The 16,811-nt window shown below is 36.9% G+C and overlaps 1 long non-coding RNA gene across 2 annotated transcripts in view; it reads left to right on the top strand.

The window, feature by feature from the left end:
- ETNK1-DT (ETNK1 divergent transcript) overlaps positions 1-16,811 on the top strand; it is a 36,040-nt gene that overhangs the window by 7,878 nt on the left and 11,351 nt on the right. Inside the window, exon 2 of one of the 2 annotated variants that reach the window (NR_135030.1) lies at positions 7,415-7,586. This is a non-coding gene — a long non-coding RNA (ETNK1 divergent transcript). Of the gene's footprint in view, positions 1-7,414; positions 7,603-16,811 lie in introns of those variants that run through there. The other variant, NR_135031.1, reaches the window with a different exon arrangement.

Here is a 16,811-nt window from a genome sequence, read left to right as displayed (position 1 = left end):
GAAACCTTATCAATAAATGTATTTAATTTTAATCAGTTTGACCATAGGTAAAATTTTCATAAACCTTTTACAACCCTTTACAATTTTTGTTAAAGAGCAGATCATAAGGAGGTTCTTGCTTTAAGAAAAACCTGTTGGGCCAGGCAAAGTGACTCACGCCTGTAATCCCAGCACTTTGGGAGGCTGAGGTGAGTGGATCGCCTGAGGTCAGGAGTTTGAGACCAGCCCGACTTACATGATGAAACCCCATCTCTATTAAAAATACAAAAATTAGCTGGACATGGTGGTATGCACCTGTAAACCCAGCTACTTGGGAGGCTGACACAGGAGAATCACTTGAACCCGGGAAGCTGAGGTTGCAGTGAGCCTACATTACACCACTGCACTCCAGCCTGGGCAACAGATCGAGACTCTGCCTCAAAAAAAAAAAAAAAAAAAAGGAAACTCTGTTGTGCTTTTATTCCAATGGTTAATTTGCAGAAAAACTGAATAATACCCCTTTTACTTTAGCCAGTGTCCACACAGAATCTTTTTTGCAGGTTAAGTTTTCATAAACCATCAGAATTTTTTTTCTTTCTTAAACAATCCTTTAACACTTTAATGTAGGCAGAAAAAAATCCACCTTCCCATGACTTCTTATACTCTTTCACCAAAAACACATTTTACTTTCTTTACACACCTTCCATGTAAAATTGTTTCTTTGTAGTTTTAATTACATGTTATAATGTTAACGTTCTGCAATTTCTATTTTTGGTGAAAACTTTGGTAAATCTGAGATTTTAATTATGTATTAAGTGTGGATCCTAGCCTAAGAGACACCAGGCAGAAGTGCATGTAAGAGCTGACTCTCCAGCATAGCTAGGGGGTGTGGCTGATTCTACATGTCTCCAGGCCTTGCCTTACTTAAGCAGGCAAGTTTTACAGTAAGAGTCATGGTGGCATTGTATGAAGCATTTAGAATGCCTAACAACCTTTGAATTGTACATTTCTTGCATAAATTCCTTTCACAAATCCTTTCATGACTTCCACAGACCATCTGAGACATTCTTGGGCTTTCTGACTTGCCCTAAACATCAATAGTCATTTTACTTTAAGACAAGAATTTACCATACAAGATCCTTTCTCATATAAAATCTCTTTTTTTAATAATCTTCTTTGTATAGCTAGGGGGTATGGCGAATTCCACATGTCCCCAGGCCTTATCTAGAATCTAATGGCTTTAAGATAGATAAATTGAACAATTTTCAAGCAGTTTATGACCTTAAAGCATTTACTAAATTTAATATCTGACCTGCATAACTTAGACCAAATGTCTTTATTTACCAATAATTTTTTAAACTATCTTGGCCAGGCACAGTGGCTCACGCCTGTAATCCCAGCACTTTGGGAGGCCAAGGCGGGTGGATCACAAGGTCTGGAGTTCGAGACCATCCTGGCCAACATGGTGAAACTCCATCTCTACTAAAAATACAAAAAATGAGCTGGGCGTGGTGGCACGCACCTGTAGTCCCAGCTACTTGGGAGGCTGAGGCAGGAGAATCACTTGAACCCAGGAGGCGGAGGTTGCAGTGAGCCCAGATTGCACCACTGCACTCCAGCCTGGTGACAGAGCGAGACTCCATCTTAAAAAAAAACAAAAACAAAAAACGATCTTTAGTTCCCAAAGATTACTTAAGTCACATGACTAAAACTCATTATACTTTTTTACTTTTCTAATAAAATATTAAGCTCTTATTATTTTTAAACTAATTAAAGCTGTTTCATATGTAAATATCAAACACATAACACATATAAACACATAGACAGACAGAAGATAAAGGATCATCCCCTAGGCCAGGAATTGAACCCTAAACCCAGGCCACCATTGTGAAAAGAGAAAGCATGGCCACATGGTTACAAGGTCAAGTTCCCAAGGGCATAACTGACCAGAGAGAAACTTTATCCAGTTTACACACACACACACACACACACACACACACACACACACAGAGGGAGAAGCTAGAAATCTGATTGGTAAGAAATTCTTATCCTTTTGCTGGCCTGCCAGGCTTCTGGATTCCCTTTCCCTGAGCAGCCCTAGTGACCCAGCTGGCTGTACACAGCCCTAGGGGCCAAGCCACAACACAAAGGAAAATTATCTTTTTCTGTTCTGGCCAGAGCAAAATACATGTGACAAAACGTAGACATTAGCCACTCTGCTTAACACCCACTATTAAATTCAAAAGGCTTAAACTTGCCCCTGGTTGGGCCCCGTCATGAGGTTAATCCAACCTCTGACCAGGAGTTTCAACATGTGGTCTCTGGGCAAGATGGTCACCCTGAATAATAGAGAAGATAAGAAAGAGAAAGGAGAGAAAGAAAAGCATTGCCTGTGGCAGGGTGGGGAAGGCAAAATTATCAAGGAGGCCAGAGAAAGACTCACCCATTGCATCGACACTGAAAAGTTCTAGTGGCTGCTGCCGGTCAAGCAGGGATCTTTTCCAGCAATCCTATCAGTTTTCAAGTTTCGCCTTTTAGGGACGAAAATGCTCCACATGTCACACAATCCTCTACATGCCTAATCCCATCACCCACAGGCCTCAAAGAAGAGTGCAAGGCAGATTAATCCAAAGAGAACAGCAGTTAACAACCCGTAGTGCCAAACCTGTTCTTAGCCAAGAGGGATTTTATCAAGAGGGGCTTCTAATCCCCTAAATCTTAGAAGGCCTCTAATCCCCTTCTAAGTTGGGCCTCTAACCCAATGCCAGTCAAGGATCCTTGCCTTTTATGAAGAGGGGCCTCTAACCTACTCTGCCTTAGGAGAGACTCTAACTCCCCCAAGTTGGGCCTTGAACAAGCCCATTCTTTATCTGGGTACCCCACCACTTACCCAAAATCATCCAATCAGTGCTGCAGTCTATTTCCTTTGGGTTGGGGGGGTGTTTAGTAATGTCCCTTCAAGATTCACCAGAAATATTCTACAGGACCCCAACACTTACCCAAAGGTAGCTGTTGGGTCAGGGATTCTGTACTATAGTCCCTCCTGTGGTCACTAGAAATATGTTACAGGACAGGAGTCTGGATTCAGGCCCCAAAAGAGGGTTCTTGGATCTTATGCAAGAAAGAATTCAGAGTGAGTCTGCAGTGTAAAGTGAAAGCAAGTTTATTAAGAAAGTAAAGGAATTAAAGAACAGCTACTCCATAGACAGAGCAGCGGGGCTGCTGGTTGCCCATTTTTATGGTTATTTCTTGATGATATGCTAAACAAAGGGTGGATTATTCATGCCTCCCTTTTTTAGACCATATAGGGTAACATCCTGATGTTGCCATGGCATTTGTAAACCGCTATGGTGCTGATGGGAGGGTGGCAGTGAGGAAGACCAGAGGTCACTCTCGTCACCATTTTGGTTTTGGTGGGTTTAGGCTGGCTCCTTTACTGCAACCTGTTTGTCAGCAAGGTCTTTATGATCTGTATTTTGTGCCGACCTCCTATTTCATCCTGTGACTTAGAATGCCTTAACCATCTGGGAATGCAGCCTAGCAGGTTTCAGCCTCATTTTACCTAGCTCCTATTCAAGATGGAGTTACTCTGGTTCACATGCCTCTCACATGGTCATAAATGTTTTAATTATAATGGGATTAGATTTAGTTACCAGAGTGTTGCGGGAAGTCAGGGACCCCAAATGGAGGGACCAGCTGGAGCTGCAGCAGAGGAACATAAATTGTGAAGATTTCATTTTAATATGGACATTTATCAGTTCCCAAATAATACTTTTATAATTTCTTATGCCTGTCTTTAATCTCTTAATCCTGTTATCTTCATAAGCCGAGGATGTATGTTACCTCAGGACCACTGTGATAATTGTATTAACTGTACAAATTGATTGTACAACATGTGTGTTTGAATAATATGAAATCAGTGCACCTTGAAAAAGAACAGAATAACAGCAATTTTTAGGGAACAAGGGAAGACAACCATAAGGTCTGACTGCCTGCGGGGTTGGGCAAAAAGAGCCATATTTTTCTTCTTGCAGAGAGCCTATAAACAGACGTGCAAGTAAGAGAGATATCGCTAAATTATTTTCCTAGCAAGGAATATTAATACCCTGGGAAAGGAATGCCTTCCTTGGGGGAGGTCTATAAATGGCTGCTCTGGGAATGTCTGTCTTGTGTAGTTGAGATAAGGACTGAGATATGCCCTGGTCTCCTGCAGAACCCTCAGGCTTACTAGGGTGGGGAAAAACGTGGCCCTGGTAAATTTGTGGTCAGGCTGGTTCTCTGCTCTCGAACCCTGTTTTCTGTTGTTTAAGATGTTTATCAAGACAATATATGCACCGCTGAACATAGACCCTTATCAGTAGTTCTGCTTTTGCCCTTTGCCTTGAGATCTTTGTTGGACCCTTATCAGTAGTTCTGCTTATGCCTTTTGTCCTGTTCCCTCAAAAGCATGTGATCTTTGTTAGACCCTTATTAGTAGTTCTGCTTTTTGTCCTTTGAAGCATGTGACCTTTGTACCTACTCCCTGTTCTTACACCCCCTCCCCTTTTGAAACCCTTAATAAAAATGTGCTGGTTTGAGGCTCAGGTGGGCATCACGGTCCTACCGATATGTGATGTCACTCCTGGTGGCCCAGCTGCAAAATTCCTCTCTTTATACTGTCTCTATTTCTCAGCCGGCCGACACTTATGGAAAATAGAAAGAACATACATTGAAATATTGGGGGCGGCTTCCCCCAATACAGAGTAACAACATAAAGAATTTGCAGAAGAAAATATTCTGTGAAACAAGATCATGTAGGCAAGTCTAACAGCTAGATCATCCACCAAATTGCAGACGTGTTTAAAATGAAATCACTCTCGCACACCTCATGGAAAATCAGTTAATTCATGTCATTGTAGAGTGAACTGAATATTAAGGAATTCAAAACATCTGTGATACCAGACTTCAAGGACATGCAAGCTCTGCCCTACCCCCCCATGAAAACAAGGGAAAAAGAAGGCTGCTAAGGGCTAAGATTTTTAGAGATGCTACGTCGAAATGAGGCTGCCACTATTCTGCACTTTTCAAATTTAAGATAGACTAAGGGATCTGGTCATCTATAAAACTGCTGCAGCAACCACATTAATCATCTAAGAAAGGCTTACTACTTATATGTGTGCTCAGTTGTAGCACCTAATATTTAACTCTGTACAACCTGCCTCTTGGTTCTTGTTCTATCTTGTCTCTTTTTGTATTTCTAGAATCAGAAATTATAAATTATAGAGTTATAAACTATAACTCTATTTCATACATAAGATTATCTCAAGAGCTGGAATTCTATCATTTTCCCCTTTATATCCTTAGCAGTCTTAAGACTGTGTTTACATATTGTAAATTACAACTGTGGGTTTAATTGAACAAAGAAACATACCAAACTGTCCCTAATTTTCATCATCTAAAATATATAAGAAGAAAAATTGTAAACATCATTATATGAGTAATGAAAGAGGATGTACCTTACAAATGTTAGATCACATCTTTAAGCTATAAATTGTGAGGTCAGCACAGGAATAAAGAGCTCAATACAAAAAGAAAGATTCAAGGATATAGGGGTATGTAGTATGCAAAAAAGGCAATATTTTAACTCAGTAGGGGAAAGTTATTAAAAAATAATATTGAGGCTGGGCACAGTGGCTCACATCTGTAATCCAAACACTTTGAAAGGCTGAGCAAGGGAGGATCACTTGAGCCCAGGAGTTTGAGACCAGCCTGGGCAACAGAGTAAGACCCCGTCTCTACAAAAAATAAATAAATAAATTAGCTGAATGTGGCCATGGTGCAAACCTAGAGTCCCAGCTACACAGGAGGCTGAGCTGGGAGGATTGCTTGAACCCAGGAGGTTGAAGCTGCAGTGAGCCAGCACCATGCCAGCCTGGGTGAGAGAGCAAGACCCTTTTTTAAAATAATAATGATAATGATAGATTACTTTTCACAGATTTTGGTAAAGTTGGTTTAGTAATCAATGTTATTTAAGTTGTAGTAATAAAAAATTCACAAGTGCTGATAAATACTTCATCATAATTATATAAATATCAAATATATGCATATATATTTGCATATACAAATGCAAACATATATAATATTCTAAATATATATTTATACATATTTACATATTATACATACATAATATATAAATATGTGCATATATATTTTATATTATGTATGTATATAATATATAAATATGTGCATATATAAATGTAGGCATTTATATTATAAATATATATTTATGTATATAACAAATATACATGTATCTCAGTAACAAATACATCACTCTAAAGATGAAAAAATAGATACTTAGCTTGCTTAAATCCTGGAGGTTTCTTAATCCATTTTTCCCCAGGGCTTAGGTGATGATTGGCATTTAGTAGCCACTTAATAATTAATTGTTGAATGATAAAACAGGTGACAGACTAAATATGTTCTGCATTATGGTTTAAAATTTTTTTTTCAGACTCTACACTGAATTGAATAATCAGCCTTTATTGTTTTACTGCCATTCCAACTTTCCCCCAAATGAATGTAATTACCAATTCCTAAGTTAAACTTTTAATATCGTTATACCTATTTGGTTCTTCATAAGGAATATTTAAACAAATATTTTGATATTTTGAAGAAAGGATTTCAGAACAGTTATGTGTACCCACAAACTACAAAAGGCTAATGCTTACTACTTGTGTGACTGCAGTATATGAAAGACACACAAGAATCATTTTCTCCCCCTTCAGATTCTACTTGGCTTTGCTCCAAAGGATGCAATGGTTTTAAGACTTTCTTCCTCTTTAGAGATGTGGTGAAGGGGATTAAAAGGATGAGCTTTGTAGTTAGACAGTCCTGCTGTCGAATTTGAGCAACTTATTTCATCTCTTTTAACCTCAGTTTCCTCATCTCTGTTGTTATCACTGCAAAACCGTTGCAAAATAGTGATAACAACAGCGATGCAGAGAAGATTTAAATAAATGATTGTCAAGTCTTTGAAATAATGCCTGGTGCTAGTAAGGGCTCAGATATGTTTTGGCCAATATTATTAAATATTTATCTGGATTAAATAAAATGGTACGTAATAGCTATTATTGCATGAGTTATGTTATTATTAATAAATAGTAGAAGGAGGTAAAAGACATTCTTAACTTAATCCAGGGAAATTGTTCCAATGTTTAAACCTTAGTTAGTTCAGAACCCAGAACTTCAAAATCTAGAACTGAGTTAAAACTTTGGGGTCTGCCTAATCCAATGATGTTTTTCTTTTCTTTCCTTGGGGTAAGTTTATCAGAGGCTAGAGGGGAATATGCTGGGGAAAAAGTAAAGAGAATATCAAGGACCTACTTTCTCTGGTCCTTTGTTATCTACTAAGTCTGCTCATGTTACTCTCCTTTTTTTCCCATTGTATATTTTAAAGCTGCTATGAGTAACACGATCTGGAAAGACAGCGCTAGCAAGGAATGAGGAGTGATACAGTGACTGGAGGCTAAGAGATAATGTCTGCAAGTCACCTAAAACCATTGCAGACACAGGGAGATTGATGGATTTGGAGGACTTCTGGTTGTGAAGACTCTGACGATTGCTAAAGAGTTAAGTGAAATACTAGCGTGGTTTTTTTGTGTGTGTTTTTTGTTTGTTTGTTTGTTTGTTTGTTTATAAAAACAGGCAGAATGTAGCCCTATTAATTGTAAACTGGCAAGATAAACCAGGATGCCAGTAACCACTAGACGACAGATTGTCAAGAAATCCAGTAATAACCATCCACAAGAGTTTAAAGTACAGTGAGGCAAAATCCTGATGGCTTTAAAAGAATAAAGCCTACTGTACCAATTAGTAAACTTTTATGATAGTGTTAGACCATTAGTGATAATGAGGAAACATTGGATTTAATATATTTGAACTGTGGTAAGATGTGATTCTTTCTTTTTGTCAACACATTAAAACCATATGGTTTAGAATCCAGTATTATAAATTAGAAAATTGACTGGAAATCTATCCAACTGGTTCACAGTGCTATTGCTGCTGAAATTTACTAAATGGGTCTATTTAAGGATCAGTCCAAGGGATTTTTAATATACTTATAGGAGACAAGGATGAGACATTTTACAAAAAAAACAGTAGGAGTTTCTACCCACTCATACACCTCTGAGTCAGTGTTTAGAAACAGTTAATTGCCAAACTGAGGTACACCTTCTTGACCCAAAACCGTATGTCTGAAACAAATATGTAAGAGGTGTCCAAACACAGACCTTCAGATGGAAAAAATAAAAAGGAAGGTGGGGAAGGGGAAGAGGCAGAGTGGTAGAAAAACCTAAATAATATAAGATGTCCTAATTAACTATAAAAGGAATACAAAACTTATGTATTTAGATAGATACAAATTGCCTCCTTTAATGTTAGTTATCTCATGAGTTTATCACAAAATAATAAATGATAAAAGCAGTACACATGACAAATCATAAAAAACCAAAATTATCAACCTGAGGGTGAAAAGAAGGACCAAATATTATGAAGCAAATGAATTCTTCTAAGTAAAAACTGAGTCAAAAGGAAATTTAAAATATATTGTATTAGGCCATTCTTGCATTACTATAAAGAAATACTTGAGCTTGGGTAATTTATAAATAAATGAGATTTCATTGGCTCACAGTTATGTAGGCTTTACAGGAAGCATGGTGCTGGCATCTGCTCAGCTTCTAGGGAGGCCTCACCAAGCTTACAATCATGGTGGAAGGTGGAGGGGGACCAGGCACATCACATGGTGAAAGCAGGTGAAAGTGAGAAAGAGAGTAGAGTGAGGAGGTGCCACACACTTTTAAATGACCAGATCTCGAGTGAATTTAAAGCAAGAACTGACCTATCACCAATGGGATGGCCTAAGCTTTTCATGAGGGATCCATTCCCATGGTCCAAACACCTGCCACCAGGCCTCACCTCCAGCACTGGAGATTATATTTCAACATGAGATTTAGCTGGGGACAAATATCCAAACTATGCATATATTAATACTATTTTCAAATTTATTGATAAGAAAAGTATATACAAAAACGGGCTACTGCTAAATCAGAAATTTTTTTATTATCAGAATAGGGCAAGAGAAAATAAGCACTGTGTTTAACATTTAAAAAAATATCAGGGCTGGGTGCAGTGGCTCATGCCTATGATCGTAGCATTTTGGGAGGCCGAGGAGGTGAGCGGATGACCTGAGCTCAGGAGTTCGAGACCAGCCTGGGCAATGTGGCAAAACCCCGTCTCCACAAAAAATACAAAAATTAGCCAGATATGGTGGCTTGCACCTGTAGTCCCAGCTACTTGGGAGACTGAGGTGGGAGGATTGTTTGAGCCTGGGAGGTAGAGGTTGCAGTTTGCTGGGATAGCACCACTGCACTGTGTCTCAAAAACAAAAACAAAAACCTGCAGGGAGGGGAAATGGGAAGAGCAGTCTCCAGAAAATCAATCTCTCAGCTTAGCCAAGGCTACCTCAGCTATAATAGAATATGCAAATATAAATGGGATTCTGTTGTGCCACCAATAACCAGTTTGGGGGAAAATATTTTTTCAAAAAAAAAAAAAAGATTGCATAGGCATATGCAGCATAAAGAGTAAGTTACTCAGGAATAAAGATGTGCAAGAACTTTTTCTTCTTTGGTATATGCTCATTTTTTAAATTATAAAATATTAAAATGTAAAAAGAAACAAATAGTGTCTTTTTTCTACTCAGCAATAATTACAAATAACATTAGCTCCACATGGTTTCGTTAAAAATAATTTAATCCAAATGGTGATTAGTCTAAATGACAAAGTGGTCAAAACCCATTCTCAGTAATTAACTTTTACACATGATGCTCCATTTACCAATTTCTCAATCATTATGCATCTTTAATAATTTTTGTCTGTTTTGGAATTTTTCAGATGGTTTTCCTGTTTTTCTTAAGTATTTTCAGCTAATTCTATAGGTCTGAGCTACATGAACACTGAAATTTTAAAAATAACCTAAATACTAAGTGGGAAACAAGAAATTTGTGTTACCCAGGCCCCATAAACTTAGGCAGTCAATAAATTAAAATGTAGTCACAAAAAGTATCCATTGAAATGAAAAACAAAATAAGGTGATCAAACCGTACATATGTGTTTTCAAGTTAAAAAACTAAAATTAAAAAATACATATGTATGCACATATATATCTATATTTATGCCCAGAAAGGGATTTGGGAAGGTAGAAGTCATTGTTAGACATAAACAACATAAATCAGTATTTTTATTGTAAATTGGCAAATTATCATTGTATATATTTATGAGGTACAAAGTGATATTATGTCATATATATATACAATGTGGAATGATTAAATCAAGCTAATTAACACATCCATCACCTCAAATACATATCATTTTTTGTGATGAGAACATTCACAATTTACTCTCTTAGCAACTTTTAAAATCTTTTTTATTTATATTTATTTACTTATTTATTTATTTATTATACTTTAAGTTCTGGGATACATGTGGACAACATGCAGGTTTGTTACATAGGTATAAACGTGCCATGGTGGTTTGCTGCACCCATCAACCCATCATCTACATTAGGTATTTCTCCTAATGCTATCCCTCCCCTAGCCCCCCACCCCGACAGGCCCTGGTGTGTGATGTTCCCCTCCCTGTGTCCATATGTTCTCATTGTTCGACTCCCACTTATTATTAACTATGGTCATCATGCTGTGCAATAATCTCAAAAAACATATTTCTCCTAACAGAAACTTATTACCTTTTAACCAACATCCCCCCTATCCCCAGCCTTTGATAGCCACCATTCTACTCTCTACTTTTATAAGGGTTCAATTGTTTTTTTGTTTATTTGGTTGGTTTTCTTTTTCTTCTTTTTTTTTTTTTTTGAGAAAAGGAAGGAAGGAAGGAAGGAGAGAAGGAAGGAGGAAGGAAGGAAGGGAGGGAGGGAGGGAGGGAGGAAGTCTTACTCTGTCACCCAGGCTGGAGTGCAGTGGCACGATCTCAGCTCACTGCAGCCTCTACCTCTTGGGTTCATGCAATTCTCCTGCCTCAGCCTCCTGAGTAGCTGCGACAACAGATTCATGCCACCACGCCTGGCTATATAAGTATTTGATTGTTTTACATTCCACATTAGGTGAGTTCATGTGTTTTTCTGTGCCTGGCTTAGTACACGTAGCATAATGTCCTCCAGGTTTATCCATGTTGTCTCAAATGACAGAATTTCCTCTTTTTTAATGCTGAATATTATTTTACTGTGAATATATACCACGTTTTCTTTATCCATTTATCCATTGATGTACACTTAGGTTGATCCCATAACTTGGCTATTGCAAATAATGCTCTAATGAACATGGTAGCACAGACATCTCTTCAACATACTGATTTCATCTCCTTTGCTTATATACCAAAAGTGGCATTGCTAGATTATATGGTAATTGTATTTTTAGTTTTTTGCAGAATCTCCATACAGTTTTCCATAATGGCTATATTAAGTTACATCCCCATCAACAGTGTAAAAGGGTTTACTTTTCTTCAAATCCTCACCAAAATTTATCTTTTATCTTTTTTGATAATAGCCATTCTGACAAGTATGAGGTGATAGTTGTTTGTGGTATTAAACTGCATTTCCCTAATGAGTAGTGATGTTGAGCATTTTTTCATATATCTGTTGGTCATTTGTATGTCTTCTTTTGAGAAATGTTTATTCAAGTTTTTTGCCCATTTTCTTTTCTTTTCTTTTTCTCTCTCTTATTTTTTTTTTTTTAGACAGAGTCTCAGTCTGTTGCCCAGGCTGGAGTGCAGTGGCACAATCTTGGCTCACTGCAACCTCCACCTCCCAGGTTCAAGCAATTCTCCTATCTCAGCCTCCTGAGTAGCTGGGATTACAGGCATGCGCCACCATGCCTGGCTAATTTTTGTATTTTTAGTAGAGATGGGGTTTTGCCATGTTAGCCAGGCTGGTCTTGAACTCCTGACCTCAGGTGATCTGCCTGCCTTGGCCTCCCAGAGTGCTGGGATTAAAGGCATAAGCCACCACGCTTGGCCCACCCATTTTTCAATCAGGTTATTTGTTTTATTCTTAATGAATTTTCTGAGTTCCTTATACATTTTGGGTGTTAATCTCTTATCAGACGTATGTCTTGTTTTTGGCCACTTGTACATCTTCTTTGAGAAGTATTTGTTCATGTCTTTTGCCCATTTTTTGGTGAGGTCATTTGTTTTTTGCTTGTTGAATTGTTTAAGTTCCTTATAGATTCTGAATATTAGACCTACGTGGATGCATAGTTTGTGAATATTTTCTCCCATTCTGTAGGTTGCCTGTTTACTCTCTTGTTAGTTTCTTTAGCTATGCAGAAGCTGTTTAATTTAACTAGGTCCCACTTATCAATTTTTGTTTTTGTTGCAAGTGCTTTTGAGGTCCTAGTCATAAATTCTTTCCAAAGACCAATGTCTAGAATGGTGTTTCCTAGGTTTTCTTCTAGAATTCTTATAGTTTGAGGTATTATATTTAAATTTTTAATACAAGCCTGGTGCAGTGGCTCATGCTTGTAATCCCAGCATTTTGGGAGGCTGAAGTAGGTGGATCACTTGAGCCCAGCAGTTCAAGACCAGTGTGGGCACTATGGTGAAACTCTGTCTCTACAAAAAATTAAAATATTAGCCGGGCCTGGTGGCATGTGCCTGTAATCCCAGCTACATGGGAGGCTGAGGCAGGAGGATCACCTGAGCCCAGGGAGGTCAAGGCTGCAGTGACCTATAAACCTGGCACTGCACCCCAGCCTGGATGACAGAGTGACTCTCTGTCTCAAAAAACAAACAAAACAAAACAAAACAGAAGTCTTTAATCCATCTTGAGTTAATTTATACATCTGTTGAAAGATAGGGGTCTAGTTTCATTCTGCATGTGGCTAGCCAGCTATGCCAGCACCATTTATTGAATAGGGTGTCATTTCCCCAGTGCTTATTTTTGTCAACTTTGTCAAAGATTAGATGGCTGTAGTGTGCAGCTTTATTTCTGGGTTCTCTATGCTGTTTCATTGGTCTATGTGTCTGGTTTGGTACCATGCTGTTTTGGTGACTGTGGCCTTATCATATAGTTTGCAGTCAGGTAACATGATGCCTCCACTTGTGTTCTTTTTACTTAAGATTGCTTTGGGTATTGGGCTTTTTTTGGATCCATTTACATTTCAGAATAGTTTTTATATGTCTGTGAAAAATGATATTGCTAGTTTGATAGCAATGGCATTAAATCTGTAGATTGCTTTGAGCAGTATGGCCACTTGAACAATATTGATTCTTTCAATCCATGAGCATGGAATGTTTTTCCATTAGTGTCATCTGTGATATTGTTTAGCAGTGTTTCATAGTTCTCCTTGTAGAGATCTTCCACTTATTTGGTTAGATTTATTCCTAGGTATTGTTTTGTGTAGCTATTGTAAATGGGAATGCATTCCTGATTTGGCTGTCAGTTTTAACATTAATGGTATGCAGAAATGCTACTGATTTTTGTACATTGATTTTGTATCCTGAAACTTTATTGTAGCGCTGGGCTTTTCTTTGATGGGAGACTTTTTATTACTGATTCAATCTCTTTCCTCATTATTGTTCGATGCAGATTTTCTATTTCTTCAAGATTCACTCTTGGTAAGTTGTATATGTCGAGGAATCTATCCATTTCTTCTAGGTTATCCAGTTTGTTAGCATATAGTTGTTCAAAGTAATCTCTTATGATTATTTTTATTTCTGTGGTATCAGTTGTCATGTCTCTCATTTCTGATTTTATTTGAGTTTTCTTCTCTTTTTTTCTTAGTATAACTACACTTTTATCAATTTTATGTTTTTAATAAGCCAACTCTTAGTATTGTTTATATTTTTCAATTTTTTTCTAGTCTCTATTTTATTTATTTACCCTCTAATCATTGTTATTTCTTTCCTTCTGCTCACCTTGGACTCAGTTTTTTCTTCTTTTTCCTAATTCCTTGTAGCATAACATTAGATTATTTATTTGAGAACTTCCTCTTTTTTGAAATAGGCATTTATTGCTATAAATTTCCCTCTTAGAATTGCTTTTGCTACATCCTGTAAGTTTTGGTATATTATGTTTCCATTTTCATTTAACTCAAGATAATTTTTAATTTCCCATTTGATTTCTTCTTTGACCCATTTGTTGTTCAGGAGCATGTTATTTAATTTCCACATATTTCTGAATTTTCAAAACTTCTGTTATTTAATTTTTAGTTTCATACCATCGTGGTCAGAGAAGTTACTTGATATGTTTCAATCCTCTTAAATTTGTTCAGACTTGTTTTGTGGTCTAACATATAATTTATCCTAGAGAATGTTACGTGTGTTCTTGAGAAGACTGTGTATTCTGTTGTTGTTGGATGAAATGCTCTGTATATGTCTCTTAGGTCTACTTGATCTAAAGTGTAGTGCAAGTCCAGTGTTTCCTTATTAATTTTTTATGTGGATGATCTGTTCATTATTGATAGTAGGACTTGAAGGCCCCTATTATTATTATATTGCAATCTATCTATTCCTTCAGATTTTTAAATGTTTGCTTTATATATTTAGGGACTCCAATGTTGGGTGAATATAGATTTACAATTGTTATATTCTCTTGATGAATTGGCCCCTTTATAATTATATAATGACCTTCTTTGTCTCTTTTTACAGTTTTTTAAATTTAAAGTCTGTTTTATCTGATATAAATATAGCTACCCCTGTTGTCTTTTGGTTTCCATTTGCATGGAATATCTTTTTCCATCTCTTTACTGTCAGTCTATTTGTGTCCTGAAAAGTGAAGTGAGTCTCTTCTAGGCAGTATATAGTTGGGTCCTGTTTTTTTTTAATCCATTCAACTACTCTGTCTTTTATTGGAGAATGTAATCCACTTACATTTGTCTTAGTTTATTTTGCACTGCTATAACAGAATACCACAGACTATGTAATTTATAATGAACAGAAATGTATTGGCTCATGGTTCTGGAGGCTGGGAAGTCCAAGATCAAGGGATCGGCATCTGATAAAGGCCTACTTGCATCCTAACACAGTAGAAGGCATCACATGGATGATAGAAAGAACAAGAGGATGCCAAACTCATCCTTTTATAAGGAACTCACTCCTGTGACAATGGCATTAACTCATTCATTAGGACAGAGCCCTATGACCCAAATACCTCCCTATAGGCCTGCACCTCCCAACACCTCCACGTTGGAGGTCAAGTTTCCAACATATGAACTTCAGGTGGCACAGTCAAACCGTGGCAACATTCAAAGTAATTATTGATAGATAACAGCTTACTAATGCCATTTTTTAATTTATTTTCTGGTTGTTTGTAGAGACTGTATTTCTTTCTTCCTCTCTTGCTGTCTTACTTTGTGGTTTCATGATTTTCTGTAGTAGTATGCTTTGAATCCTTTCTATTTACATTCAGGGATCCCCATGAGGTGAGACTGAAATGGGCTTCCTGGACAGCTTCTTGGAATGCTAAGGAAACTGGATATTCACTTCTTAACTCCTTTCAAGACCACAAAAATCAGCATAAGGCTAACATCATTGTTTAAAACGTATTTAGATATAAAGAATTTGAGAGAAAAAAGTCAGATAATCAATATGTGAAAACTAATAACCAGGAATATTAAGGTTTGAACAATTTTTTTCAAAATATTTATTTACTTGGCCGTGGTGGCACATACCTGTAATCCCAGATACTCAGGAGGCTGAGGCAGGAGAATCACTTGAACACAGGAGGTGGAAGTTGCAGTGTGCTGAGATTGTGCCACTGCACTCCAGACTGGGCAACAGAGCAAGTCTCCTTCTCAAAAAAGAAAAATATATCTATATATGTATATATACATTTACACATATTTATTTGCTATATGTAACATACAAACATAAAATACATATGAATTTATGGATTTACTTATATATAATTTTACACACATGTATATCTTACATCATTTTTATCATATTGTATATCAGGTTTTGTATAATGCTTTCTTCATTCACATTATATGCATTTTTTCATGTCACTAAAATTCACAGAAAGCATAATTTTGTTGGCTACATATTATTGTCATACAACATTTATTTATTTATTTATTTATTTATTTATTTATTTATTTATTATATAGACTGTGGTTAAAAAGCACAGAACATGAAATTTACCCTTTTAACCAATTTTTAAGTGTATTGTTATCTATACAAACACCATGGATCCAGTCAGCCAATTGGGCTTGCTTAGCTGGCTTTTGAATGGGAGTTTAAGGCTGGCTTAGCAGGTAGGTAAAGTTAAGCTGGTGTAATGATCACTCACACTCAGTTTTCACATTGTAAAATATGAATAATATTACTAACTAGCTCATCAGATTATTAACTAGATTAAATACAATGTATAAATCACTTAACACAAAAGCACAGAGTACCTACTCAGTACACGTTTCCTTTTATTAATAGTATTGGTCAGTTTATGTCAATCTGAACTATTAATACCAGTGGGGACCTTCAGATATTTAGAGAGTTAGATCACTTAAATTAATTTTGCATCAATAAAAATAAAATATTTTGTTTTCACTAACTAGCACCATGTTTTCACCTTTTTAAAATGTGATACATCCAAATGAAATCTATTTGTGTGTGTGTGTGTGTGTGCTATCATTTGACTTACATCACACAGTGTCTGACACAAAGTAATAAATCTTTCTTGAATGAACAGTATTGTATGGTTATAAAGCGGCTACCACATCCTACGAATTGTGAAATGTTATATTCTGAGTTCGCACAAGACATACATCACTGAAAGCCTTGGT

This window comes from Homo sapiens, chromosome 12 (assembly GCF_000001405.40).
Source record: "Homo sapiens chromosome 12, GRCh38.p14 Primary Assembly".
Classification (NCBI taxonomy): Eukaryota; Metazoa; Chordata; class Mammalia; order Primates; family Hominidae; genus Homo; species Homo sapiens.
This window is presented reverse-complemented; position numbering and strand designations above follow the sequence as displayed.